This window comes from Homo sapiens, chromosome 17, assembly GCF_000001405.40.
Source record: "Homo sapiens chromosome 17, GRCh38.p14 Primary Assembly".
Taxonomy (NCBI): Eukaryota; Metazoa; Chordata; class Mammalia; order Primates; family Hominidae; genus Homo; species Homo sapiens.
Window position 1 is genome coordinate 74599840 of NC_000017.11, and position 26290 is coordinate 74626129.

A 26290-nucleotide genomic window follows, 5' to 3' on the forward strand; every position below is an offset into this window, starting at 1 on the left:
AGTTACAAGTTGCTGGAGGGCAGCTGGTATTAACTCATCACCAGGGAGAGAGCACAGACAGGCAGGGGCATGTAGTGCTCACTGGTCCTGTTCCTTCTCATCCTTCCAGGTAAGTGGGCCTGGGGATTAAGGAACTGGAACCCAAAAGGCTGGGCAGGAAACAGAGAGGGTCTGTGCTGGAGGGAAGGAGACAAGCTGGGGAAAATGCACTCATCCATGCACTTACATATAAGAAAGCAGGAAGGAAGGAAAAGAGAAAAAAAGGGAGGAATGTTTTGTTATCTGACAGTTACTAGGTTAGGTGTTGGGGAAAGAAACAAAAAACATAAATGGTGTCAGGTTTCTAGGATTCTGATTCTTCTCAACCCTGGCAGATGATAGATAGATAGATAGATAGATAGATAGATAGATAGATAGATAGATAATTGATAGACAGACAGATAGATGATAGATGATAGATAGATGATAGATAGATAGATAGATAGATAGATAGATAGATAGATAGATAGATAGATAGATGAGAGAGAAGTAAATGGATGGATGATAGACGAGAGACAGATAGATGCATGGACAGGTGGACAGATAGATGAAAGAACAGATAAATAGGTAGATACATACATACTTATATACTTGCACATATACACATATACCCAAACTTAAATGCATGAATCCCTGAGGAACTTTAAAAGAGCACAAATACTCAGGTTCCAGCTCAGACCCACGCAGTCGTGGCGGGGTTCAGACATCTGGCTAGTTTAGAAGCCTCCACAGCTTGTCATGAGTTGTAGCTAAAATGGAGCAGCTCAGAGTTACAGGGAGGAAGACAGGCAATAAGGCAAGGATGTCATCGCTCTCTGGAATGTAAGTCAACCCCACACATCAGCCTGCTTGAGCTTCTGCTCTGGACGAGCCAAAGACCAGACCATTGTTCAAGGTTGTAAGTACAACAACTGAGACAGATACAAAGTGGTCTGGTGGCACCAGGGCGGGGCTGAACCAACCCTTCAGGGAGGGGAATAAGGGCTTAAGTCCATCAAGCAAGGAAGAGACAACTTCCTGGGCAAAGGGAGCAACTTGTGCAAAGGTATGGAGACAAAAATAGCATGGTGCTTAGGCAAAGAAAAACAACTGTGCACTGAGTGTGTGCACAGGTGTGTGAGTGTTGGGGGTGTGTGTGTGTGTGGGGGTGTGGGTGTGTTTGGTTCCATGAAACTTTATCACATGTGCAGACTCACAGGAGAGGGTTTTTAGGGGTGTGGGGTGCAGTGCCAGTGGGCGGAGGAGTTGGGGGAAGCCAGGATGTCTACCTGTTCAGCTCTGGGATTTTAAAATAAATCGGTGGCTGGCCGGGCGCGGTGGCTCATACCTGTAATCCCAGCACTTTGGGAGGCCGAGGAGGGCAGATCACCTGAGGTCGGGAGTTCAAGATCAGCCTGACCAACATGGAGAAACCCTGTCTCTACTAAAAATACAAAATTAGTCGGGCGTGGTGGCGCATGCCTGTAATCCCAGCTACTCGGGAGGCTGAGGCAGGAGGATTGCTTGAACCCAGAAGGCGGAGGTTGCGGTGAGCCGAGATCGCACCATTGCACTCCAGCCTGGGCAACAAGAGCAAAACTCCGTCTCCAAATAAATACATAAATACATAAATAAATAAAATAAACTGGTGGCTGCAGTGAGAGCCAGGGATTGGTGGGGAAGTGGGTGTCACCTCAGGGCAAAGGAGGGAAGGTTTCCAAAATGAGAGGGTGTTCAGTGGTCGCTAGGATGGCGCATGAACAGACCACTGTGTTGGGCAGTTGGAGCCCTCAGGAGAACTTTGTCAGAGGGGTGACAACAAAAGAAATACTGCCGGGGAATTAAGGAACAAATGGATGTGAGAATTTGACAATTTGGGGGCTGAGGATAAAGGCTCCTGGTTGGTCCCCAGGGAGGTGCCGGAAGCCCTGGGCAGTGCCCAGGGAGGGAAGATCTGGACGTTGGGTTCTGTCTTCCAGAGTATTTCTCCATCTATGGTCCTAGAGCTGTGTGGGGCACAGAATGGGACTCACTGACAGTGCAGTGTCATTATGACCAAGGCTGGGAGACCTACAGCAAGTAGTGGTGCCACGGGAAGGACTGGCAGTCCTGCAAAATCCTCATTACAATCACAGGATCAGAGCAGACAGCGGAGAGAGACCGAGTGTCCATCAGGGACGATCAGAAACATATACCCTAAAACTTAAAGTATAATAATAATAAAATTTAAAAAAAGAAAAGAAAAGAAAAACCGTGTGTTCACCATAACCATGAAGATGCTCTGGAGGTCCGACACTGACACCTACTGGTGTGGGATTGAGAGGACAGGCACTGACCTTGGGGTCCAAGTTGAAGTGACCATTTACCCAGGTCGGAGCAGCTCCCTCCTGTACCAAACTCTGGTGCTGACCCGAGAGGATTCAGTGATGCTGTCTTGACATTGTCCTGGGACTACGTGTGTGCATGGGCTTGTGTGTGCTTGTGTGTGCCTGTGTATGTGTGCCTGGGCTTGCCCGTGTCTATATGTGTGCTGTGCATAGATGTATGTGTACGAATGGGCCCGTGTGTGTCTGTGTGTACATGTCTGTGTTTGTGGGCCTATGTGTGTGCATGTGCATGTGTGTGTGTTTGGGGGGAGGGGTTACACCAAGATTCTGGAAAGACTGGAAGACAGAGCAAGCCTCAGTATCTCTGTATGTCTCTATCTGCTATTATCAGAGGGAGCCAAGCAGAACTGGGTCAGCTTGGGCAGGCACAGTGCAGGGTAAGAAAGAAGGCAGGTTCTCTTCTGCAAGTCACTTGGGGCAACCCGTGCCCCCTCAGAGCAGCCCCAGCCTGACGGGAGGACTTGTCAGGTGTACAGGGAGGGGAATGCAAGAAAATCGCAATCCCAGAAGTCTCAGCTCCAGGACAAGCATGTAGTGACCAAGAGCCCATTGGTGACCCTCTCCTTGGAGCCACCTCTCTCTCGTCCTCTCCCACCTCTGGTGACATATGGACAAAGGAAGGCATGGGAGACTCTGACCCATTCCTGAAAGAGGGAAAAACAGAACCCGGCATAGTGCAGAGCCCTCCCACAGGCCTCCCCTGGCTGCCCCGAGCCTTTGAGGATACTGAGAACTCACAACAGGGGGCTCCTAGAAAGAGAGTCCGGCTGTCATCCTCACTCCACAGCCCAGCCCCCAGAGCCATCAGTGTCATCTCCGCCGTGGGCACCAGAGAAACTGTCAGCTCCCCATGCACATGCATAGATGCTGCAGCTCAATCATATATCTGTTACTTGTGGGCCCATTTACAAGGCAGGGAAAAGTCCTTTTCAGCTTAGTATATGCGGATGTGGTGTGCCTGTGTGTGTGTGCAGTGGGGAAGTCTGGTTTTAGAATGTTTCAGAAATTGACTTAAAAAGAGAACAAAGGCATGAGTGGAAGGAAAGGAGGAGCTGGGGGAGAGTCGGAGGCTGCAACCCTCCAAGCCTAGTGAAATAAGGAAGCTTTGGGGAGGCAGGAAAACTTCAGCTGGAAACAGATGCTCTGCCCAGCTGCAGGGGAGAGGAGTCCTGAGTCCCCAGGCAGGGCCCAGGGAGGGGCAGCTGGCTCTGAGGGTCACTTTGCTACACAGCAGGCAACAAACAGCCTGCTGGAGCCCAGGCTGAGACTCAAGAGAAGGGCTGGCTGGCTCTGATGTAGAACTTCAGGGAAGCAGAGTGTGGTTCTCAACGCTCAGCTGTGCAACGCAGGACTCTGGGACTAAGTTGAATATTTGTAAATTGCCTGCATAGCTTCTCGCCACAAGTCCTTCCCAGGTGGTGCAGTGATGTTTGTTTGTAAGTGAAATAATATTACATTTTAGGTAAGATACCAAAAAGATACAAAACAAAACAACTGTAGTGCTAAGACTAAATGCTTCACGATCCTTGGAGGGGTAAGAGGTGACGTGAGCCACGGGGAAGCCACCTAGGTCACCCTCAAAACTATCCTTTGCATGTCCCACAGCAACTCCAAGAAAACAATCTGAACCTAAGACAACAGACGCAGCTGCACCTGGGACAGCAGACACAGCTGGGCCTGGGACAATGGACACAGCTGTACCTAGAAAAGCAGAAACAGCTGTGCCTGGGAAAAGGAACACAGCTGTGCCTGGAACAGCAGACCCAGCTTCACCTGGGACAGCAGACACAGCAGAACCTATGAGAACAACCACTCCAACAGTTCTGGCCTCCTGGCCTTCTCTCACCCAGAGCACCAACAGCACCCAGCCCACGGCTCTTACCAGCCCCCTCACCAGGTGAGCAGAGCTGGGCTCCCACAGACCTTTCCCTAGGCTGCCCCATGACTGCTCCTTCAGATGCTCTCACCAGGGACCCTCATGTGGCGCTCGTCAGGGGAGAAACAGTGAAGTCTGTAGTGGGCCTTCCCCTCCCTGTCTACACCTGAGCACTGCAGGAGATTCTCCCTGATGAGCTGCAACAGGCTGAGCTCCAGAGAGCAGGCTCTGGGCTCCATGCTTCACCGAGTCCCTCAAGCCCCAGGAGGCAAAAGCGAGGTGAAGCTTTGGGTGCTCTGGAAGGGCAGCTGTCTGGGTGGCTTTCCTGTGGCTGCTGTAACTGATCGTTACAAACTTTGTGGCTTAAAACAACACAGTCTCATGATCATACAGCTGTGGAGACCAGAAGTCTGAAATGGGTCTCACTGGGCTGAAATCAAGGTGTTAACAGGGCTGGTTCCTTCTAGAGGCTCCAGCGGAGGGCCTGTTCCCTTGCCTTTTCCAGCTTCTGGAGGCCACCCGTGTTCCTTGGCTCATGGCCCCCTCCTACCCAAAGCCAGCAAAGGTCGGTGGAGTCTCCCACAGAGCATCGCTCCACTGTCTCTCCTGCCTCCCTCTTTCATTTATAAGGACGCTGGTGATTCCACTGGGCTCAGCCAGATGATCCAGGATAATCCACCCTGGGTCACCTGACGAGCAGTCTCAAATCCACCCACTGCCTTAATTCCCCCTTGCATGTAATAAAACATATTCACAGGCTTTGGGGTTATGACATCGTGGGTGGGGTTCACTATTCTGCCTACCACAGTCACAGGCAGGGGTGTGCCCATCGCTCCAACTCTCCAGCCAAGGCTAGGGAAGGGCAGGGCGGGAGAGCGGGAAGCTGGGCCTCTTGCTTTTCTTTCACATTCCCAGCATGGTAGATGGGTGTGGACATCAATCCGAAGCCCACCTCCTTTCGAGGGATCAATAGGATGTCTCATCACCGCGCAAATGCGGCTGCCCCTGTTTAACCCCATCACAGCCTGGTGCTTCAGGATCCCTCAAAGTCCAGGGTCAAGGCCCATTCTCTCCCTGGATCCTGCCTTCCCTGCTCCACCGGCTCCCTTCTCCAGCCCAACTCCGTTCCTTTCAAAGGGTCTTGTTCCCTGGAGCCTGCCAGCACCGATCCTGTGTTCCCTAGGAGTCCGGAAGAGGCGAGGCACTGGGGATGCTTCCTGACCTGGCCTTCGTCTCGCTCCACTGTTTGCAGAGCGGTTGTTCTGCTGAGTGGGGATGGCAGTGCCAGGACTTCTAGCGAGACGGGAGAGGCACAAGGGGAAACTTGGCGGGAAGAGACCAAGGGTGCGGCGGCTCCACGGGGAGTGGAACTTGCAAGAAGAACACAGTGGTTTAAAGGGTATTTTTAGGATGTGCAATATGGCAGGCCTGCTCTCACTCAAGAAAACTCTGAGTTAAATTCACATGACTCATCACTGCTTCCATGCCCTGGGCTGGAGGCCAGCTTCGGGGAGAGAACAGGGATGGCCTGAGGGAAAGGGCCCTGGCACTGGGTGTAGGGGAGTGGATGAGGAATAAGACTGGGGAATCAGACTCTTACACGCTGATGGGGACTCCCCAGAACCCACTCGTTTAGCTAGACCAAATATTAAACATGTGGGTGATATGAGGCAGCAGGTCTCAGATCTGCTGTCATAAAGTGGGTCCAAGCAGGAGGAGACCCCTCCCAGGAGAACCAAATAGATAAATAGCCAGGTTGTTAGAAGTGGGGGAATCTTCCTGTGCTTCAAAGAGGTAATAATAATTAGATTTGAGCTTGAAAGATGGGCAGAAGTGACAAAGGGAGACACAAGGCAGAGAGAGGAGCAGAAGCAGGAATACAGGACACAGCAGACCCTCGAGCTTGGCGGGACACAGGTGAGTAGCAGGGACTGTGGGAAAGAAGACCAAAGGCAGGCCTGGCTGGGTGCAGTGGCTCACGCCTGTCATCTCAGCACTTTGGGAGGCCAAGGCAGGAGGATGGCTTGAGCTCAGTAGTTCAAAATCAGCCTGGGGTATATAGCGAGACGCCATCTCGGCAAATAATGTTAAAGGCTGGGCAGTCACGGCCAAGGGCAGCGAAGGGGCCGGGCCCCAGACTGAGCCTGTGGGAAGGCCACTGGAAGCTCAGCCTCCGGGTGGCATGACTTTGCCCCTTGCATGGGGCTTCCCTGGTTGGGGACCAGGCAGCTGACCAGGGTGGCAGGTGTTGGCTCAGGGAAGAGGCTGCTCACTCTTGGCATCTTGACCCCTTTGTCCAGGATCCTGCTCTGCAACATCCACTTCCTGCTCCCGATCTCCCTGAAGGGGCTGCTGCTCGTGGGCCTGCTCTGCACTGTGCTGCAAGTGAGCAGTGCTAAGGGGGCCTCCAGGGGGAAATAAAGTCACAGCCTGAGCCGGGGAACCGCAGCTCCCACACCATCAACACCCTCGGAGGGGGCAAGCAGAACCTCTGGCCTCCTATCAGGTAATAAGCAGCAATTGCAGTTCCCCAGGAGACAAGGGTCCCTGCAGAGATGAAATATCCCTCATCCTGGCCTCAGGAAGGCAATCCCACTCCCAGCTGGCTCTGCACAGCACAGGGATGCTGACGGGGCCTCTCTGCCTTCTGCCACCTCTGCCTCAGGAGCAGATAAAAGAAAGGACATCCCCCTTGCACACTGATTCCTTGGAGGCATCTGCATCTCACCTTCATGGATCCTCCCTCAGGCCTCCTTTCCTTGTGGCTCCAGGATGACCCTGTCAGAGATACTGGACTATCGTTCAGTTGCAGAGGCCCCAGGGCCTGTCTGGACTTTTCCATCCCAAGAGGGGCTCGGCTCTATCCCCTTTGTGCCTGTGACCCTCTCCATCCCCCACCCGGCTCAGAACTGGCACAGCCACCACCAACCACTCCTGATTCAACCCAAGCTTCGCCCTTTCCACCTCTCGAGCTGTGCAACAACAAATGCAGGATGCTCAGCCCTCATGTGTCAGTCCCCTCAATTCACTTGTAATTAAATAACAACACACCTCTTTTTCTAATTTTCAAAGGTGTATATATTTCCCCTCAATAAAGTTGTTAGGATTATTTTTCTCTTCCACTTACATTCTTCCTGAACTCTGCCTGCTCTTTTTTCTTCCATATTTTACTTTAAATACTTTTTTTTGAATTACTATATTTCTTTTCTTAGCTCCTTTTTTTGGAGAGATCTTGTTGTCTTAACTTCTCTAAGAAGGAGGGGAATTTTCCATCTGAACTCTTCCTCTATTGCCTTGAGCACTTCCTCTCCTGAGACGGGTTCTTCAACTGCCATTTGCTAGTGTTCATTTCTTCTCCTTGATCTCATCAGCTGTGAACAGGTGCTGGTGTGCTTTATAACTTTTCTCTGAATGAGGTTGAAGATTGGCCAAGAGTAGTGTCAGGAGCCATGGAGGCAGAGCCATGGAGGGCAGAGCATGGAGGGCAGAGTGTGGAAGGCAGAGCCATGGAGGGCAGAGGGTGGAGGGCAATGTGGAGGGCAGACCGTGGAAGGCAGAGCCATGGAGGGCAGAGCATGGAGGGCTATTGACACAGTGGAAAGTTTGTTTTCGGGAACACTCACCACTTGCCACATCTTGACTACCTGTGTCCATATGGTTCATGTGTTGAGAAAGGGCAAGACCTCAGGCTCCAGCAGCCTGCATGCTGCTAAGCATAAGAGAACAGCCTGTGTTGTTGCAATGTGAACCATGGTCACACAGGCTGGTTGCTATTGTCATCTGGAGGCTTCTTCACCCACGAGTCTGGAGCATGGGCTGGGGTGATCCAAGACAGCTCTGCTGGGACTGTTGCCCAGAGACCCTACATGTGGCCTCTCTGTGACAGCTGGGTTCTAAAAGGGAATATCTGCAGACCTTCCAGAGGGCAAGCGTTTCAATAGACTGAAGAGGGAGCTGCAGGGTTTCTTCTGACTTAGCCTTGGAAGCCATACGGAGGCCCTCTTGCATTCCCCATGGGGGCAAATATTGGTTCTTGCAGGGTGGAAAAATATTTTTACTCTTTCTAGATACAAAACAGAGATATAGATGGATGGATGGATAGATAGATAGATAGGTAGATAGATAGATAGGTAGGTAGGTAGATAGATAGATAGATAGATAGATAGATAGATAGATAGATAGACAGGTGAATGGATGGATGTACAATACATCTTTGGTATTAACATTTCATGAGGGGAGATATTTAGGGATATTCTTTTTTTAGGGATATTCATTGTTATCTTAGGATAACAATGAAAAAATGTTGAGAAACACTGTTCTAGTCCACAAGTTGAAACAGTCACAACCCAGCCAGACCCAAGGGGAGGGGACCTAAGCCACAACTCTTCATGGAAGGAGTATCAAGAAATTTGCAGCCATGTTTTTAAACTGCCTTGTGGAAGAATCATAATGTAGCGCCTTCATGTCACATATAAGAATAGCGGGACGTGAAGGGGTGAAGCCACCTGGTCCCCAGTCACAAGGCCAGAGAGCAGAGTTGATTCTGCCTCTGAATGGCAGCCTGGAGCTGGCCCACACAGCATCCCTGCAGGCCCATCTGTGCACTTTAGAAGGTCACTTCCCAAGCCTGCTGGGGGCACCATATGGTCCCAAGAATAAAAATGAGGCCCTGAAACACCTATCCTTTACTCAGAGGTCACAGTCCAGCAGCCATTACTTGCACAGACATGTCTTGTTTGGGTTCAGTGGGTGAATGGTTAAACAAATTATTTTACACCCATGCAATGAAATCCTGCTGAGCAATAGGAAGGAATCAGCTATTGGTTGTGGTAAGTGCAACCACTTGTATGGATCTCAAGGCTCAGTGAATTAAAAAGTCAATCTCAAAATATTACATACTGCATAATTTCATTTGTCCTCAAAAGGATGACACTGTAGAGATGGAGAACAGATTAGTGGTTTCCAGGGGACAGGAATGGGATAAGGGTGCAAATACAAGGGACAGCATGAGGGAGATCCTTGTGATGATGGATTGGTTCTGTATTTTGACGGGGGTGGTAGTTACCTGGATCTGTAAAATTGCATGGAACTCTACACAAACATATCCATAAACCAATGTATGTTAAAAACGGTGAAAACTGAACAAAGTCTGCAGTCTAGCTAACAGTATTGTAACAATGCTGGTTTCCTGGTTTGGGTCTTGTCCTACAGTTATATAATACATCACCATTGAAAGACACTAGATGAAGGATTCACAGGACTCTATGTTATATTTGCAATGTTAAGCCTATAATCATTTCAAAATAAAAGTTTCAAAAATTAAAACCTCCAGGGGCTCCCTATGGCCTCCAGAACACAATTCAAACTTCTTGGTCTGCCATGAAGCCCTTTCAGACTGAGGCTCCAGCCCCATATCTCACTCCTCCCTCACATGCACTCTGCACACATGGTAATGGTAACGTAGCTCCTGAAGGTCCTGGTATCCACCATGCTCTATGACTCTTCCCTACCATTGTCTGGGACAATCATCCCCCAGTCTTCTGCCCTATTTTTATAACTCAAGCCCTCAATTTTCCTTCTCCGCTTGGCCCTCATGGGAGTGCCTCCCTTCTGTGCCCCCACAGAGCACTGTGCAGAACCCTGACACAAATTCTAACACACCGCATCGCTATTGTTAGTCTACATCTTAGACTTCCCTTCTAAAGGAGTAGGGACTCTGCATAGTTTAAGTCCTTATCTGTAATGCCCAGAACAATGCACCATAGACACACAATAAAAGTTTATTGAATGAATGAGTAAATAAAGGGAAAAAAGAAAGGAAGAATAGGGGAAAAAAAGGGAGTAAGGGAGAAGGGAAAATTCAAAGCATGGAGAAGCCACTGTTTGTTTCTCCTGCACCTGCTGTCTGCCATCTGTCTACTCTTTCTTAACTCTTCTCTTCTGGCTTCTGCTGTCATTGCTCTGTTGATCTGCTCTTCTGAACTTCATTAGTGACCTTGTGAATGATAAGTTCAATAGCCTCCTCTCAATCCCGGTCCTCCTCCACCTCTCTAGCTCTGCTCTCCTCCTTGAAACATTCATGGCTCTTGACTTCTCATCTTCCACCTGTTTGATTCTGCTCCAGCACCTTGATCAATGTCTTCCTCCTACCCTTTGTCTTTAAATGCAGGTGCCCCGAGGGCTCTGTCCTTGGTTCTGAACTCTTCCCTCCATGTTTTCACTTCTTGCTGGGTTCCAGTTAATCTCTCTACACACATTCCTCTCCAGCCCTCAACACTCTGCTAACCCACATCTCTAGCTATCTGCTAGACCTCTCTGCCTGATGATTCCAAACACACAGAAAACTAAGCTCTGCATCATCCAAGCCTGCTCTTGACTTTCCTACTTCTGTCAATGATGCCCGATTCCTCTGGTTTTCCAGGCTTAAGACTCCGGACTCCCAGATTCTTCCTTTCAGACTTTGCTACATCTGCTAGGCAAGTCCTCCTAAAGCACATCTGCAATCCCATCTTGTTCTGCTCAAATCCATCCCACCATAGCTAATCAAAGTTTAAGTAAGAGTTGAGTCCTAAGCCTCCTGAACCTGCCACCACCTGAGTTCTTCTAGATTAGTTCCATCTGGCCTGCCACAGGAAAATTTCACTCCATTGGAATCTTAGACACATCCTACCATGAGCATCTGTATGTGAACAGTACAGTCCATTTGCTGATAGGTCTTCTATAAGTGACTATTGTTATGAAGATTATTTCCCGCCTCTCTGCTTTCACTTATGCTGTTTCTCTGTCCTCTCTCTCTCCCTGTTGCTCCATCCCTGCTCCGCTGAAATCCTATACCTCCTTCAACATCAACATGAATGTCACCTTCTTTCCCTGACCTGGCCAGCTTGGCATGATATTCTCCTCACCAACCCCCTGACATCAGGAAGCATCTCTTGTGGCTCTAGAGTTCTTCCTATGCTGTAATGACTTGGGAGCTTATCCTTCTCATAAAATGAATCATAAGCTCCTTTCTTGCTCATCATCATATTTCCCGGGTTAATATAATTAATATGGGCCTTGTTAGATTGAATTTCTCTTTCAGCATGAGTCCTGGGCCAGCCCCATCTTTCCCCTAGTCACCATGCATGATGGAGCTGGGAGCCCCACCAGAGCTCAAGTTCAGAGCACGGCAGCTCTGCCTAAGCACTCGGCACTCAGAGGGTCACTCCATGTGCTCTGGACACTGGCATCACTAGCTCAGGATGAGCTCAGGCCTGGGGGCAGAGGGGGAGCACTGGTCCAGATGTAGGTAGCAAGTGGAGATGGTGATGCTTGCTTGTGGCAGACTGTGGGAGTCCTCCCCACAAACTTTAGGGAAACAGAGTAATTGACAAACATTCAGAAAACCAACTGAGCTCATTCCCGAGCCAGGGGTCACCAGTAGTGGTGATAGCACTGTGCACTTCAAGTGTGGACAAGTATCCTTCACCTCTGTGCCCTCCATCCTGTCTTTGAAAAACGATATCTGCTCTGCCTGTGGAAAAGGTTAATTGCTAACAGGTGGTCTCAGCCAGACTTCTAAAGTGGACAGAACTGACTCTGTTGACCTTGTGCATTGGACACCTCCAGGTGGGGGAATTCCAGGAGTGATATCAGGGGCACCCACCAGCTCCTTCTCCCTTTACTGTTTCAACTCGCCCCAGAACTTTAACCTGGAGCAGCTCATCCACGGCCCACCCAGGCAGAGATGTTCTGAGCCCAGCCACACACTGCCTGGTTACAGGGAGAGAAGGGGCCTTAAAGCCAGGGAGACCCAAGGGGCGTCAGAAGACGAGAGGAGCCCTGAGCATGTGGGACACTGGGCAACTGCATGAGCAAGCTCTGCCGGGACCAAGCTCCCTTGGGGTTGTCCCAGAGAAGAGATGGAGCTCTGTGAGCCTAAAGGCTGGGGCTGTGAGGGGTGTGTCCTCAGGGAGACTCCTGTCTGCAGGAAGGAGGTAGTTATTGCCCTGGGGGAAACTGGCCTGAGAAGCATTTGTGCCAAGAAGAATGAAGGGCCAGGCTCCTCCAGAAAATTTTTTCCCTCCCTTCCTCCGTCCTTTTCTCTCTCTCTCTCTCTCTCTCGCTCTCTCTCTCTCTCTCTCTCTGTCTCTCTCTCTCTCTCTCTCTCTCTCTCTCTGAGACAGGGCTCTCTATGTTGCCCAGGCTGGCCTGGAACTCTTACGTTCAGCCGATCCTCCTGCCTCAGCCTCCTGAGCTGGGATTATAGGCACTCGCTATGGTGCCCGGCCAACTTCCAGGGAATTCTTGCCCTTGGGAAGTGGGCATGAGGGCAGGGAGGCAGGGGACTGGGGAGGAGAAAGGAGGACCCCCAAGCTGCACATTGAGGACTCCAGAGGAGTGTCCTCTAAGAGCCAGGACCCTCCTTTGAGGCACAGGAACAATAAATCCCTCCAGAGTCCACAGGTCTCTCGCATCCAGTCTGAAAGGTTGACTCCCTGCACGGGGCACTCCTGGGGATGGGGCTCTGCAGGGCTTCGGGTCAGCCTGGCTCTATCTTCCAGGAGGAGCCCACTGAGGCCTGTTCACCCAGAAGACAGCACCCAGCATGCTCAGGAGCAGGGGCAGCTTCAGAAGGACCACGAGCAGGAAGTGAGGGCTGCTGAGCCGGAACCTGTGGTGGACACGGTGAAAATGAGTCACTTCCCCGGGAGAACCCCCAGGACCCTTCTCTCCCCACCTCTCCCCATGCTCTGACTCTGGAGCCCAAATAACCCAGGAGCAGCCAGGGAAAGGACCTATGCCAGGGCAGCCCCTTCTGTGGCCCCCATCCCTCCTTCTCCCTCCATCAAGGACTGCCCGGGGGGTCTCATCAAGGAGAGGTGATGGAGTGAAGACAGAAGAGGGACCCACTTCCAGGAGTGCGCTCCACAGCACCCTCTCTGTCCCTGTCCCACTCACAGCCTCCACTTTATCAACTGACTTCTTAAAACCAGTCCCCACTCTCGCTTTTTTTATTTTCTGAGACAGAGTCTCACTCTGTCACCCAGGCTGGAGTGCAGTGGTGCAATCATGGCTCACTGCAGCCTTGACTTCCTGGGCTCAAGTGATTCTCCCACCTCAGCCTCCTGAGTAGCTGGGACTACAGGCGCACCACCACACCTGGCTAATTTTGTATTTCGTAGTAGAGACAGGGTTTCACCATGTTGCCCAGGCTGGTCTCAATCTCCTGGACTCAAGTGATCCACCGCCTCGGCCTCCCAAACTGTTGGGATTGCAGGCGTGAGCCACCACACCCGGCCACCACTCTCACTGTTCCACTCCAGCTCCTTGTTCCCTCCCCTCAGGGTCTAGCAGCAATATCACAGCCCTTTCTGGATATCTTTGGGAGAGGAGAGAGAACTGATTCAAACCCCAGCCTGGAGCTGGCCCATCTCCCCACAGACCCCACAGACAGCTCCTGGTGGCAAAATCCCCAGCTGAGCAAAGACCTTTGAAAAGGGCCACAGAACTGGGACCCCAAGTCCGGAGCTGGATGGGGAAGGAGACAGGAAGGAGTGGGGAAGGGAGGAGGGGCTGCACGTCCACCTGAACTCAACCTTCGACCTGAGTCCCAGTAGCTGCCCCATAGGGAAAGGCGTTCACAGCACAAGTGATATTTCCCACTCAGCATCCACATGCAGCCTCAGAGAGTATGAGAATCAGGACCAGAGATGGAGAGAAACAGCAGACAGTGACGATCTCAGGTCACGGTGCGCCACCCCCACCCCCCAGCTTCCACCCCAGGGTTGCTCCCTCCATGGCCTCCAGGCCCTGCGTGCTTACCCTGAATTTTGGGTCAACACCTCCCCGGTGCTGAGGTTTCGCCCAGGGTTCACCACCAGGAAGATGGGAGGTGTGGCTGGATGTGTGGTCCTCCTTGGGGTTGTAATTGCTGTTGGAGATGAAAATGATGCATCAGCCGTGCCTGGGCTCCCAGCCATGCACAGAACACCCGTATGGATGTCATACAGAATCACCCACTCACAGAAGAGGCTGGAAAGATCTTCTGAAGCCAGATCCAGGGCACCTCCTGGGTGAAACCCCTCAGGGACAAAAAGAGCCCTTACCAGAACCAGCCATGAGAGTCCCCTCCAATAAGTGCCAGGTCTTTCTCTGCATCTCAGAGAAAGACTCTTACCACTCTGCCCACTCTGCCCTCATCCCACTCTGCCTGGGGTGAGGGCAGGGGTCTCTCTGGGCTTCCGCAGCCAGATGTGGAGTTCCAGGAGGAGGAGGGGAAGGAGGAGTCTAAAGGAAGATGGCTCAGCCTGTGGCCCAAGAAGCCTCGTAGAGACCATGAGAGGGGGCTCTGAGCACCCTTCATGTGGACACTCTTTTTTTTTTTTTTTTTTTTGAGATGGAGTTTCACTCTTGTTGCCCAGGTTGGTTGGAGTGCAATGGCACAATCTCAGCTCACCACAACCTCCACCTCCCGGGTTCAAGCGATTCTCCTGCCTCAGCCACCCAAGTAGCTGGGATTACAGGCATATGCCACCACGTTTGGCTAATTTTGTATTTTTAGTTGAGATGGGGTTTCTCCATGTTGATCAGGCTGGTCTCGAACTCCTGGCCTCAGGTGATCTGCCCTCCTTGGCCTCCCAAAGTGCTGGGATTACAGGCGTGAGCCACCGCGCCCGGCCCATGTGGAAAGGCCACTGTAGGCCACCCCTAGGGAGGGGATAGGTTGACACTCGGCTCCTCCTAAGGACTTCAGGTGACCACCAGACTATTGACATAGTCTACTCCCTCATTGCCACTGGACTCCCAGCTCATGATCTCCCTAAAGCAGTTGTCCTGGAGGCTCAGCCCTTCACCGGTGCCCGACACAGGCTCAGTGTGATCCGATAAGCCGCGTTCAACCTCTCTGTTGCTGGAGATTCGTTGATGGACGTGGCATGAGCCCCACCCCGTTGGAGGGGCAGAGACACATAAACAGACGGACTCACTTCCGCTGGAAGCAGCCCTGGGAAGGAGCCCCAGCAGGTGCAATGGGAGCACAGGGGAGAAGCCTAATCCACCCCCAGGCCAGCAGTGAGGAAAACATGGGCGGCACCTAGCAGAGGCGAATGCCGGACCATGGGATGCTTTTGGGAAGTGAGAGACATGATAGAGTGTGAGTCTGAGGACAGGAGATGGTGTGGATAGCTAAGGGGCAGGGGGCAGGGGAATTTGGTTCAAGAGGGATGGGGAGGCAGAAAACCACAGGACAAGGAGCCAGCCCCAGGAGGATCACCCTTGGGCAGGATGGGGAAGCCTGTCCTCAACCCGAAAGGGAAAGGGGAAGAATGAGTGTAGATTGCATGAAAGTTTGCAAGTGGAGAAGGAAAGAAACTGATGTCCTGTGTGTTCTCAGGAAGGTAGATGTATGGGAGAGTAATGTTGGAAACTCTTAACTTCTACTGGCAGCCACAGGCACCATTTTCTCACTTTTTTTCCCCAGCAGCGCTAGAGCAGGTGGATTTTAGACAGGGCGACCAACTTTCCCAGGACTTTTCTAGCCTTAGCACTGAAAATCCCACATTTGGGAAACCCCTTAGTCCTGGGCAAACTGGGATGATTAGTGACCTTTATTTTAGGATTGATCCAGGGATGAGGGTTTTGTCAGGTAGATAAGGAAATGGAATATGGGAGTTATGAGTGCTGCTAAGAGAAGAAAATGTCAGGCTGGGCATGGTGTCTCACTCCTATAGTCCCAGCACCTTGGGAGGCCAAAGCGGGTGGATGACTTGAGGTCAGGAGTTTGAGACCTGTCTGGGCAACGCGGGAAGATGCTGTCTCTACTAAAAAATACAAAATTAGCCAGGCATGGTAGTGCACACCTGAAGTACCAGCTACTCAGGGGGCTGAGGTGGGAGGATCACGAGCCCAGGAGGCGGAGGTTGCAGTAAGCCGAGATCGCTCCACGGCACTCCAGCCTGGGCAACAGAGTGAGACCATGTCTCAATAAAAGAAAAAAGAAAATGTGATCTATTGCAGGGGCTCAAAGTGGTCTAGGAAGGAAGTGAGGTCAGAACGGGAGTGATGGGGGCAATAAATTGGCGGAAATGGAGGGATCAGAAGACAGAAGGTCACTGTGAGGTTGAGAATAGGGACAATGGCATGAGGATGGGGGAGAGCTGATTGATGAAAAGTTGTCAGAAAATAGAATGTCTGAGTTTAAGACTCTGGGCAGCGACCAGGTCGGGTGATGACAAGCTCTGAGGTGTTTCCATGGGGTGCAATTCTGAAGAGAGTAGAAAATAAAGGACACCAAGGTTGAGAATGTCAAGGAACCCAAGGCAAGATTGCCAAGTTATTCATTAAAGCCTGCCAAGATAATGGCAGAGGTTGGAGTGGAGGCACTGGCAGGACTCCGTTGAATGAGGGGGAGCAGCCTGGAAGCTGATGGTCGGCCTTGTCAAGCACAGGTAGAGGGTGGGCATGGCCATCTGGCACAGCATTTAAAGGAAGCAGGTGGAAAGTCATAGGGCGGAAGTTGTGATGTGGGCAGGAAGAATTGGGACACGGCTCCATGGCCCTCTAGCATAGGGGGAGTAAGAGAAAGAGTAGCTTCCACTCAAGAAGCTACTAAACAGGAAGGTCTTCCCAAGCAAGACATATTTCAAAACAACATGGTAGGGGGATGTTCTGTGAGGAGGCTGCAAATGTACAGGAGTGTTTCTTCTTTGGTACAGGCTTCCCAAAGGGCACGGTGGAAACAGCTTTGGCTCAGCATGAAGGGGCCTCCTCCACGCTGGATAATGGGGTGAGGCCCAGGCCCTATGGGAGTGATGGCGCCTGAGCTGTGCACCCCCCAGCCCACCCAAGGCTGAAGGATCAGCCGCCTCTCTCCATGCCCATGCCATAGGCTCCTCCCAACACCACTGTGACTGAGGACAAGACAAGACTTGGACGCACACTTCAGTGTGCCGCCCACCCTTGTTCCCTTGTCCAGTCGCACCCCAAACCCTGCTGCCAAAGTGAGGGGAGCTCTTACCTGGGGAAACATACACCCTAACCAGGTCCGAGGGATCGCGTGACCATGAATCCAGGACCCACACTGTCTGAATTTTGCACCAGTAAGATCCAGCATCATCTTCATTGAGGTTCTGCATGGTCACAGTGAAGGCGAGAGCCTCCGGGTGGTCTCTGATGGACACGCGGCCATTCCTCTCCACCTTCTCTTCTCCCTTGGTCTCCACAATGCTCTCACATGACGTGTCGTACTGTCCTCGGCACCAGTACTTGTTATATCCCTTGTACATGCTCTCATACTGACACCACACTGTCAGAGAGTCCCCCGCAGTGCCAGTCACAGAGCCGGGGCCCTTCAGAGACAAACAGCCTGGAAAACACAAGCCCGAGTCCCAAGTCTCCATCCAGATGGCCCCATCAGCAGCCGTCTGTCTGAAGCTTAAGGGGAAGATTGCCAGGGAGACCTGGGTGTTTCCTGGGAGGGGAACCTGGAGGAATACTTGAGCTTAGGACCTAAGCCAAAGAGTCCCTGTGAGAGCAGAAACCTGTCCCCTGTGAGAGCAGGGACACCAAGTCACAGCACAGGGGCCCCAGCACCTGGAGACCAAAGCTGGAGGCAGGAGCAGAGAGGAGCTGGTCATCCCACCTCGTCCTGGGCCCTGCAGCCTCTGCCAGGCATGAGATTTGGTCATATACAAGATCACTTCCCTTTGGAGTGAGACCCATATATTCTGGGGTCTTCTGAATCTCAGGCTTATTCTTTAAAAGCACAACTTGCGGTTTCCTCCACTTTCAGAGTGTTCTTGTGGGAGGAAAAATACTCTCCGGCTCTGATCTTAACCACTCTCCAGAAAGAATCAACATGGCACTGGGAAGAGGGGTTGTCCCCAAAGGAAGCCCTGATAAGCTTCTTTACCTGAATTTGGGACACAAGATGACCCCCCCGACAATAGTCCCCAGGTCTTGGGAGTCAGAGGTCACCATGCATTCAGAGGAAAGAGGGAAGCTGCTCTCTGTAACCAAGTGAGGTGATTTGGGTCCTGGGAGGAAAGTGGGGTTTAGAATCTGGGAGGCAAAGTGTGAGAAGTTGATACGGAAGCAAAGAGAAGGGACAAGAAAGGCTGTAGGTAGGCAGAAGTTCAGGCATTATGGGATGTGATGCTCAGCAGAGCCCCCCAATATCTTAAGCAAGTGCTGAAAAACTGACAAGAGGCTTTGTTTGAACTTGAGTGTATGTGCATGTGCACGTGTGTGTGGGTGTGAGAGAGAGGGAGAGAAAGAGAAACAGTGATGAGGCTGAGCTTTGCACCCCCTCAGAGTAACCTGAGTTCACAATAAGAGGATGAATACGCGCAGGGGCCACGGAAGCTTAAGCCGTTAGAATGAGCAGAAATTGTGAAAGAGCCCCTGGCATCTGTGGGTCCTATGACTATCTGGGCTCCTGAGCTAACTACATCTAGATCTGAGGTGATTGAGGATGGAGGAGCCCCTGACTTCTGGCTTTCATTCATTTCCCTCCCCTCCTCCCACCATCTGCCTTTCCTCCCCACTCTGTCTGCAGCTGGCTCTGTCTGTCATATGCCTTGGCAGATGTGTGAGCTGCCACCACGCACACCTTCCTCACCCCACCAACCATGCTTGGCCTGAGACAATCTCACTGTCACTATCTCTTCCCACCCTCCTGGTCCCTTCCACACTCAGTAGCACCTGTCACCCCCACCCTGACCCCTTCCCAGCCCCTACCCCAAACCCTGCTCCAAACCTGTGTTTTCCCGCTCTGTGCTCCCTTGACCACAGCAAAGTGGCTCCTGACCCCGCACCTTCTGAGCACTCCCCATTTCTCTGCTGTCCTAATTCTCGTAAGAACCTTCCTCGCTCTGGATGCTGTGCCCTCAGGAATCTTCCCATTCCCAAATCCCTGCTCCCCACCTACGTTCTCCCCCAAGAACCTGTTGCCCCGCAGCTGCACACCCCTCCTGAGATTTGAGAGCTGGTCCTCACCTCCTCCCTTCCACCTGCCCCCAGCTTCCTCCTGGAGGTGGCACATCCCAGCAGCACCTCCTTCTAGGTTCTGGACAGAGCTCAGGACTGCATTTCCCACAGTGGGAGCTTGGCAGGGTACAAAGGGCTTGTCACAGCCAAGAGTCTGGTGATGGAGCCGGGGCCTGCTTGTGCTGCTTCCTAAAGGGATCCTTGCTGGAGAGCTTGGGGTTGTTCTTCTTCTGCTAGGATCAGAGCCAGTCCCTTCAGAGCTGAATGTGTCCTAGAATTCCTGCCACTCCAATCAAGAAGATGCCAGCAGCAGATAGGAAGTCAGACTCAAGAGAGCTTTCCAGGCTCCTTCCAGCCCAAAAAGTCTTTAATTCCTCAATTGCGTAAGAGCTGGCCTGGCCTTCTGCCCCTGGCCTCTGGAAAGAGGCTTTCTCCTCTGGAATCTGTCCTCCACTCTCCTGATTACAACCTGGGCTCCTTCAGCCCTGCTAGGAAGCAAATGTTTCACTCCTCCTCTCAATCACACACACACACACATACACACACACACACACTGGGGAGAGCACAGCTGAGGGAGGAAACCATGGGACCATTTTGTCCCTTCCAGAGCCCAGAGCCACTTACTTTTAGCTCCCTCTGGACTGAGCTGTTTCCTTCCCCAGGTCTCTATTGGGTAAATCTCCAGGTTTGGGGGGTCTTTCTGGTTCACAAACTTTACAACTTTTCAAGCCATTCTAAGCCAAGCAAACATCAGTCCCTTTGAAGAGGCAGAATCTCATCCTGAAAAGCCTAAAAGTGCTATTGGGAACCCCAAACCTAGCAAATCTGGAAGGTCACCCTAGAAAAGAAAGGGCCTTCTGCATTCATGATGGCTATTCTCTCCAGTAGGCAACCTTCTCATTGAAATGAAACCAATTCAAATTAATCTTCTGAAAAGACAGAAGATGGTTCTTAAAATGTGGAAATCACAGCTGGGCGCAGTGGCCCACGCCTGTAATCCCAGCACTTTGGGAGGCCGAGGCAGGCGGATCACAAGGTCAAGAGATCGAGACCTTCCTGGCCAACATGGTGAAATCCTGTCTCTACTAAAAATACAAAAATTGGCCGGGTGTGGTGCCTCAAGCCTGTAATCCCAGCACTTTGGGAGGCCGAGGCGGGCGGATCACCAGAGGTCAGGAGTTCGAAACCAGCCTGGCTAGCATGGTGAAACCCCGTCTATATTAAAAATACAAAAATTAGCCAGGCATAGTGGCGGGGGCCTATAATCCCAGCTGCTTGGGAGGCTGAAGGTGAGAATCACTTGGACCTGGGAGGCGGAGGTTGCAGTGAACCTAGATCACGCCATGCACTCTAGGCTGGGCAACAGAGAGAGACTCCATTTAAAAATAATAATCATAATACAAAAATTAGCCGAGCATGGTGGTGTGCACCTGTAGTCCCAGCTACTCAGGAGGCTGAGGCAGGAGAATCACTTGAACCTGGGAGGCAGAGGTTTCAGTGAGCCAAGATCGTGCCATTGCACTCCAGCCTGGCAACAAAGCGAGACTCCGGCCAAAAAAAAAAAAGGAAGTCACTTGTAAAGACTTATATTTCAGAGGTAGGGCAGCAGTGTGGATAAGAGTACTATCTAAAGCCCAGTAAGCAAAGCCACCTCCAAAATGGAGGTAAAGCAAGGCAACTTGCAGAGGGGAGAGCCTGGATAGGTGAGCTTAAAGAAAAAGATAAAGGCCAAGGTGAGCGGATCACTGGAGGTGAGACCAGCCTGGCTAACATGGTGAAATCTTGTCTCTACTAAAAATACAAAAATTAGCCAGGTGTGGTGGCATACGCCTGTAACCCCAGCTACTCGGGAGGCCGAGGCACGAGAATTGCTTGAACCTGATTGGCGGAGGTTGCAGTGAGCCAAGATCACCCCACTGCACTCCAGCCTGGGTGACAGAGCCAGACTCCCTCTCGAAAAAAAAAGAAGAAGAAGAAGAGGAAAGAAAAAGATGAGATAAGGGGTGTGGCTGATTAAATCACAGACCCTCAGATGTAGAGCATGGCTTATGGTTGCTTAGCCCAATTTTCTACTTAATGTAAAAATATAACAAAAGCAAATTTTCATGCAAAGTATTGGCAGATGACACCAAATTACTGTTGTTTGAAAGAAGAACCAGGACTGGATTGGGAAGGAGTGGGTAGATCCATGCTGTTGATAACATTCTAGTTCATGGATTGGCCAGTGAGCTCACAGATGTTTGTTAAGTTACATATAATTAAAATAAAAGAGGGTCTTGAATGGACCAGTGATGAGAGAGTGTTCCATGACCCATGATCTAATTCTGGGCACCTGAAGTTAAGGAAAAAGAAGGTTATGCTAATTCCAAGATACTTTCCTCTGTCCTGCTAGAGTGTTACCTGAATGCAAGATTAGCATTTCTCAAGGAAATCCAGCATGTTCCTGGAAATAATTGATGGAATTATATAAATGCGTCGGTGCATTTGTTGAAACATGTGCTTGCTGGTTGCTTGAGGTTAATGGGAGCTACTAAATATTGGACAGCAATCAGTTCAGAATGGAAATACCAGATGATGTGGCAGAGAGGTCAGCTATTTTGTCACTATTACTAGGTTAGCCTTATTCTTGACACCTCCATGGCCAATGGAAAGAGCTCTGTGGAGGACACAGATCTGGACTTCATTTCCAGCTTGTCTACTTAGTTCTTATGTCATCAGATCTCCCTTCATCATCTTATTTATAAAGTGGAGTCAATGCTATTTGCCCTGCCTGGGTCACAAAACTGCTCAGAGGGTTAAATTCTATCATCTATTTGGAAGTGTTTATAGGTTATAAAAATGTGTAATAAATAGAATTCTAGTTTTGCTCTTTTTAAATTTTTTACTTTTCTTTTTTTGTAGAAATGGGGTCTTGCTATGTTGCCCAGGCTGATCTCAAACTCCTGGGCTGAAGCATTCCTCCTGCTTTGACCTCCCAAAGCACTGGGATTACAGGTGTGAGCCACCTCACTCAACCAACGTTTGCTTATTTTGTATTTGAATTTGCTTCCTTCCTCTTTGTCATTTCCCCTCCCTGCTAGAATTGCCCTTTCCATCTCTCTTTCCCAGTTAAGATTTTCAGAGGGACCTGCGCAGGTCACATTGCGAGTCTGAGGATGGGGAATGAGATAGGGGTGGAAAGAGAGATGGAAAGGGCAAAGAAAAAGGAAGCAAATTCAAATACAAAATGAGCAAACATTGGTTGAGTGCAGTGGCTCATGCCTGTAATCCCAGTGCTTTGGGAGGTCAAGAGAGGAGGATTGCTTGAGCCCACGAGTTTGGGTCCATGTCACCTACCTGGTCTTCTTCCTTTAAATCGCTGTCATTTTCACTCACCCTTCTAGAAAGAATCTTGTCATTACATTGGGCAATTTCTATGTTTTGTGAGGGAACTCAACCATAAAATTCATTCTGCAAACATGAAGAATGTCCTCTAATTTTTAGCCTAAATTTATTTCCCCAGAGACAAATGTGTTTTCCTGCAGTTTTGTATTTTGAATGTCTATTAATAAGAGTTTCTCTTCTGAAGTCCAACCTTTGCAGGACAGTTTCATTTACTTGTTTACACCACACCTTGTTCCGGGAAGGATTTAAGGTAGATGTTGAGGATGGCATTTTTTTTTTTCAGACAGGATCTCAACTCTATCACCCAGGCCAGACTGCTGCAGTGGTGCAATCTCGGCTCACTGCAACCTCCGCCTCCCAAGTTCAAGCGATCCTCCTGCCTCAGCCTCCCTAGTAGCTGGGACTACAGGCATGCATCACCACGCCCAGCTAATTTTTGTATTTTTAGTAGAGACAGGGTTTCACCATGTTGGCCAGGCTGGTCTCAAACTCCTGACCTCAGGTGATCCACCCACCTTGGCCTCCCAAAGTGATGGGATTACAGGCGTGAGCCACCACGCCCAGCCCATTAATTATTTCTCACAAACCATTCCAACCCCTTTACACTAAGCTTCGTCAAAACAGAACTATTGTTAATTCTTGAACTCTCCATGGTCTTTAATGTCCTCACACTTGCACATAAGCTATTCCTTTCCCACTCAGCCAACTCATTCATCCTGCAGGATGGACTTCCAATGAAGCCTCAGTGACATCTCCCACCCTTCCAAGAGCAAAGTGAGGGGTTCCTGTTGCATACTCTCATCACCACATGAATGAGTCTCTACAACAGTAATTTCCACATTGTATTGTAGTTAGTTGACTCCCTCAGTTCAGAAGTTACTCTTAATTACAGCACCCAGAACAGTCCTGGCACATATCTGGTGCTCAGTAAGTGTTTGTAGGATCCGTGGATGAATGATTGAATGTATAGAAGGATGCACAGGTGAATGAACGGATGTATCTTTCCCTTTTCTGTGGACACTTCACCTCTGGTTTGAACCCAGGACAGCTCTTCTACCTACTGTCCTGCCCCCTGCAAAACCAAGTCCCCAAAGCCACAGCCCCACTCACCTGAGAGGCAGAGAAGGAGTAGAGCTGGGAGCAGCCACATGTTCCTGTCTCCTTGGCTTCCGTCCTCAGCAAATCTAGGTCCCAGCTGGAATCCAAGTATATGTAACGGAGCCTGGGTCATCCACTTTCTACTTGTCCAAGTTTCCTTTGTGTTCTCACTCATCTATTTCCTCTTTTGCCTTTTAAAGAATGCTTCCTAATTTTAAGCCTTACTTAGCAGAAGAGAAAGGGTGGCAAGAGACGTTTCTGAGAATGGACCAAGCACAAACAGGAAAATCTGTTGGCCTTCATTTAATGTGAACGTAATGTTTGAGTCACCCCCTGAGATTTCATGACTCGGAATTTCATGAAAGTCAGTCCCAGTTTACGAAACCTCTCCAACAGAGAAAACTCTGTTCCCTGCCTCTTTCACTCTTCTTCCTATCTGGGATTACTTCATCGATCTAAGGAGCTTCCCTTCTCTATGGCTGCCTACTTTTGAATCATAAAACACCCTCTACTTAAGGAGCTGTGGTGATCACTCCCCATGTCTTTCTCAACCGTTATCTCCATGCGGATGACTTCACACCTCTTCCTCTAACCCAATATCCCAATATCTCTCCTGGGCTCCAGATCCTACTTTCTAACTTCCTATAGGGAAGCTCCACCTGGTTATACACTGTTAACCTAGTTCAGTATATGGGTCATGGTCAACAGCATAGATTCTGAAGTCACACAAACTCAAATCTCATCTCCATCATTTATTAATCATCTGACCTTGGGCATGTTGCCAAATCACTCTCCTCCTCAGTCTCCTCATCTGTAAAATAGAGTACTCATGACAATTCTTTCTCAAAGGGTTGCCACAGGAAATAAATGAGTTAATGTAAGTAAAGTGCTTGATACAGTGCCTGGAACATAGTAACTGCCCAGTTAATATTAAATACCTTTAGAATAGTCCTGGACCATTGAAATAGCTTCTCATCTGGTCCCTCCACTAGCTATACATTCTCTCTAATCCAACTTGCACATCAGAAGATACTCTTCTCTAAGACATAGCTATCTGAAAATATAATTTCTTTCCTTCTCTTTCCCCAGAGATACCCATCTTTGATACCCACAGCCTCTAATCTTTACTATCTTTTAGAACTCTACTGGATCATCTGATATTTCAAACTTTTGTTGTAAGAGCACAACTTCTTATCTTTTCTGTACCACCATATCTGATGAAGTATTATATAGCCAGGCATGGTGGCACGTGCCTGTAATCCCAGCTACTTGGGAGGCCAAGGCAGGAGAATCACTTGAACCCAGGAGGTGGAGGTTGCAAAGCAATGAGCCAAGATCACACCATTGCACTCCAGCCTGGCAACAGAGAGAGACTCCATCTAAAAAAAAAAGAAAGAAAGATGAAAGAAAGAAAGAAAAAGAAAGAAAGAAAGATAGATAGATTATATATAGAATAGAGCCCTGGATGGAACAATAAAACACCAGGACCCTGGTCCCATGTGTGACATGAGCCACACACTTGAGGGATCCAGAATGAGCAGAGCTGACAGTAGCCACAACATTGTGTCTTAGTCCATTTTCTTCTACTATAACAGAATACTACAGGCTAGCTAATTTATAAAGAACAAAAGTTGGCAGGTGCAGTGGCTCATGCCTGTAATCCTAGCACTTTGGGAGGCCGAGGCACGTAGATCACTTGAGGTCAGGAGTTTCAGACCAGCCTGGCCAACATAGCAAAACCCTGTCTCTAACAAAAATACAGAAATTAGCCCTGCATGGTGGTATGAGCCTGTAGTCCCAGCTACTCAGGAGGCTGAGGTGGGAGAATTGCTTGAACCCAGGAGACGAAAGTTGCAGTGAGCCAAGATCACGCCACTGCATTTCAGCCTGGGCGACAGAGAGAAACTCTGTCTCAAATAATAATAATAAAAAAGAACAAATTTGTTCACCTTCCTAGCTTTCTGAAGATGAGAAGTCCAAGAGCATCGTAGTGGCATCTGACAAGCGTCATTCCATGGCAGAAGACAAGACAGCAGGCAAGCCTCCTAGACAGAGAGAAAAAGGGGACTGAACTCAGCCTCTCAGGAAACCACTCTCACAATAACTAACCCACTCCGGAGATAACAGCATTAATCCACTCGGAGGACTGAGCTCTCATGGCCTAATCACCTCTTAAAGACCTCACATCCCAATGCCATTACATTGACAGTTAAGTTTCAACACGAGTTTCTGAGGGAACATTCAAACCATAGCAACCCTTGTGCCATTTATTCAGCAGAGACAACAGTTGCAGGCTTCAGTTCTTTCCACCAAGAGGACCAAACAAATCTTCAGCCTTCTTGGTTCTGCTTTTATAATGTTTTCTTCTGGTTCCTTTTTTGAAAATCTTATCCCTACAGTTGTTTATAAAATAAAAGAAATGGGAATAAGCAAAGGCATGTGTTGATGGTTGAAAAACTATAAACTCACCATGTCTAATATAGGCACATTTCATTATAATCCAATTAGAAAATCCAAACTCCGACCACCTAGTAAGACCGAGTTGACACAGAAGCTATCA

The 26290-nt window shown here is 49.8% G+C and overlaps 1 protein-coding gene and 1 long non-coding RNA gene across 2 annotated transcripts; one reads left to right on the plus strand and one right to left on the minus strand.

Annotated features, from left to right (window-relative positions):
- On the plus strand, positions 1-26157 carry LOC101928343 (uncharacterized). The gene is made up of 4 exons (NR_158152.1): positions 1-109; positions 4011-6198; positions 6582-6787; positions 25688-26157. It is a non-coding gene; the product is annotated as an uncharacterized LOC101928343 (long non-coding RNA).
- On the minus strand, positions 10046-23899 carry CD300E (CD300e molecule). The gene is made up of 4 exons (NM_181449.3): positions 23743-23899; positions 17279-17626; positions 14086-14194; positions 10046-12934 (listed from the first exon to the last, which is right to left on the minus strand). The coding sequence occupies exons 1-4, from the start codon at positions 23780-23782 to the stop codon at positions 12814-12816; spliced, it is 618 nt and encodes a 205-aa protein (NP_852114.2). The 5' UTR covers positions 23783-23899; the 3' UTR covers positions 10046-12813.
- Positions 26158-26290: the final 133 nt, after the last annotated feature.

Bases quoted from the DNA above. Each gene is read 5' to 3' on its own strand.
- CD300E (NM_181449.3), bottom strand. From the start codon at position 23,782: ATGTGGCTGCTCCCAGCTCTACTCCTTCTCTGCCTCTCAG. The intron at 17,627-23,742 runs GTGAGTGGGGCT...TGTGTTTTCCAG, and splicing joins ACTCCTTCTCTGCCTCTCAG to GCTGTTTGTCTCTGAAGGGC. The intron at 14,195-17,278 runs GTAAGAGCTCCC...CATCTCCAACAG, and splicing joins TAGGGTGTATGTTTCCCCAG to CAATTACAACCCCAAGGAGG.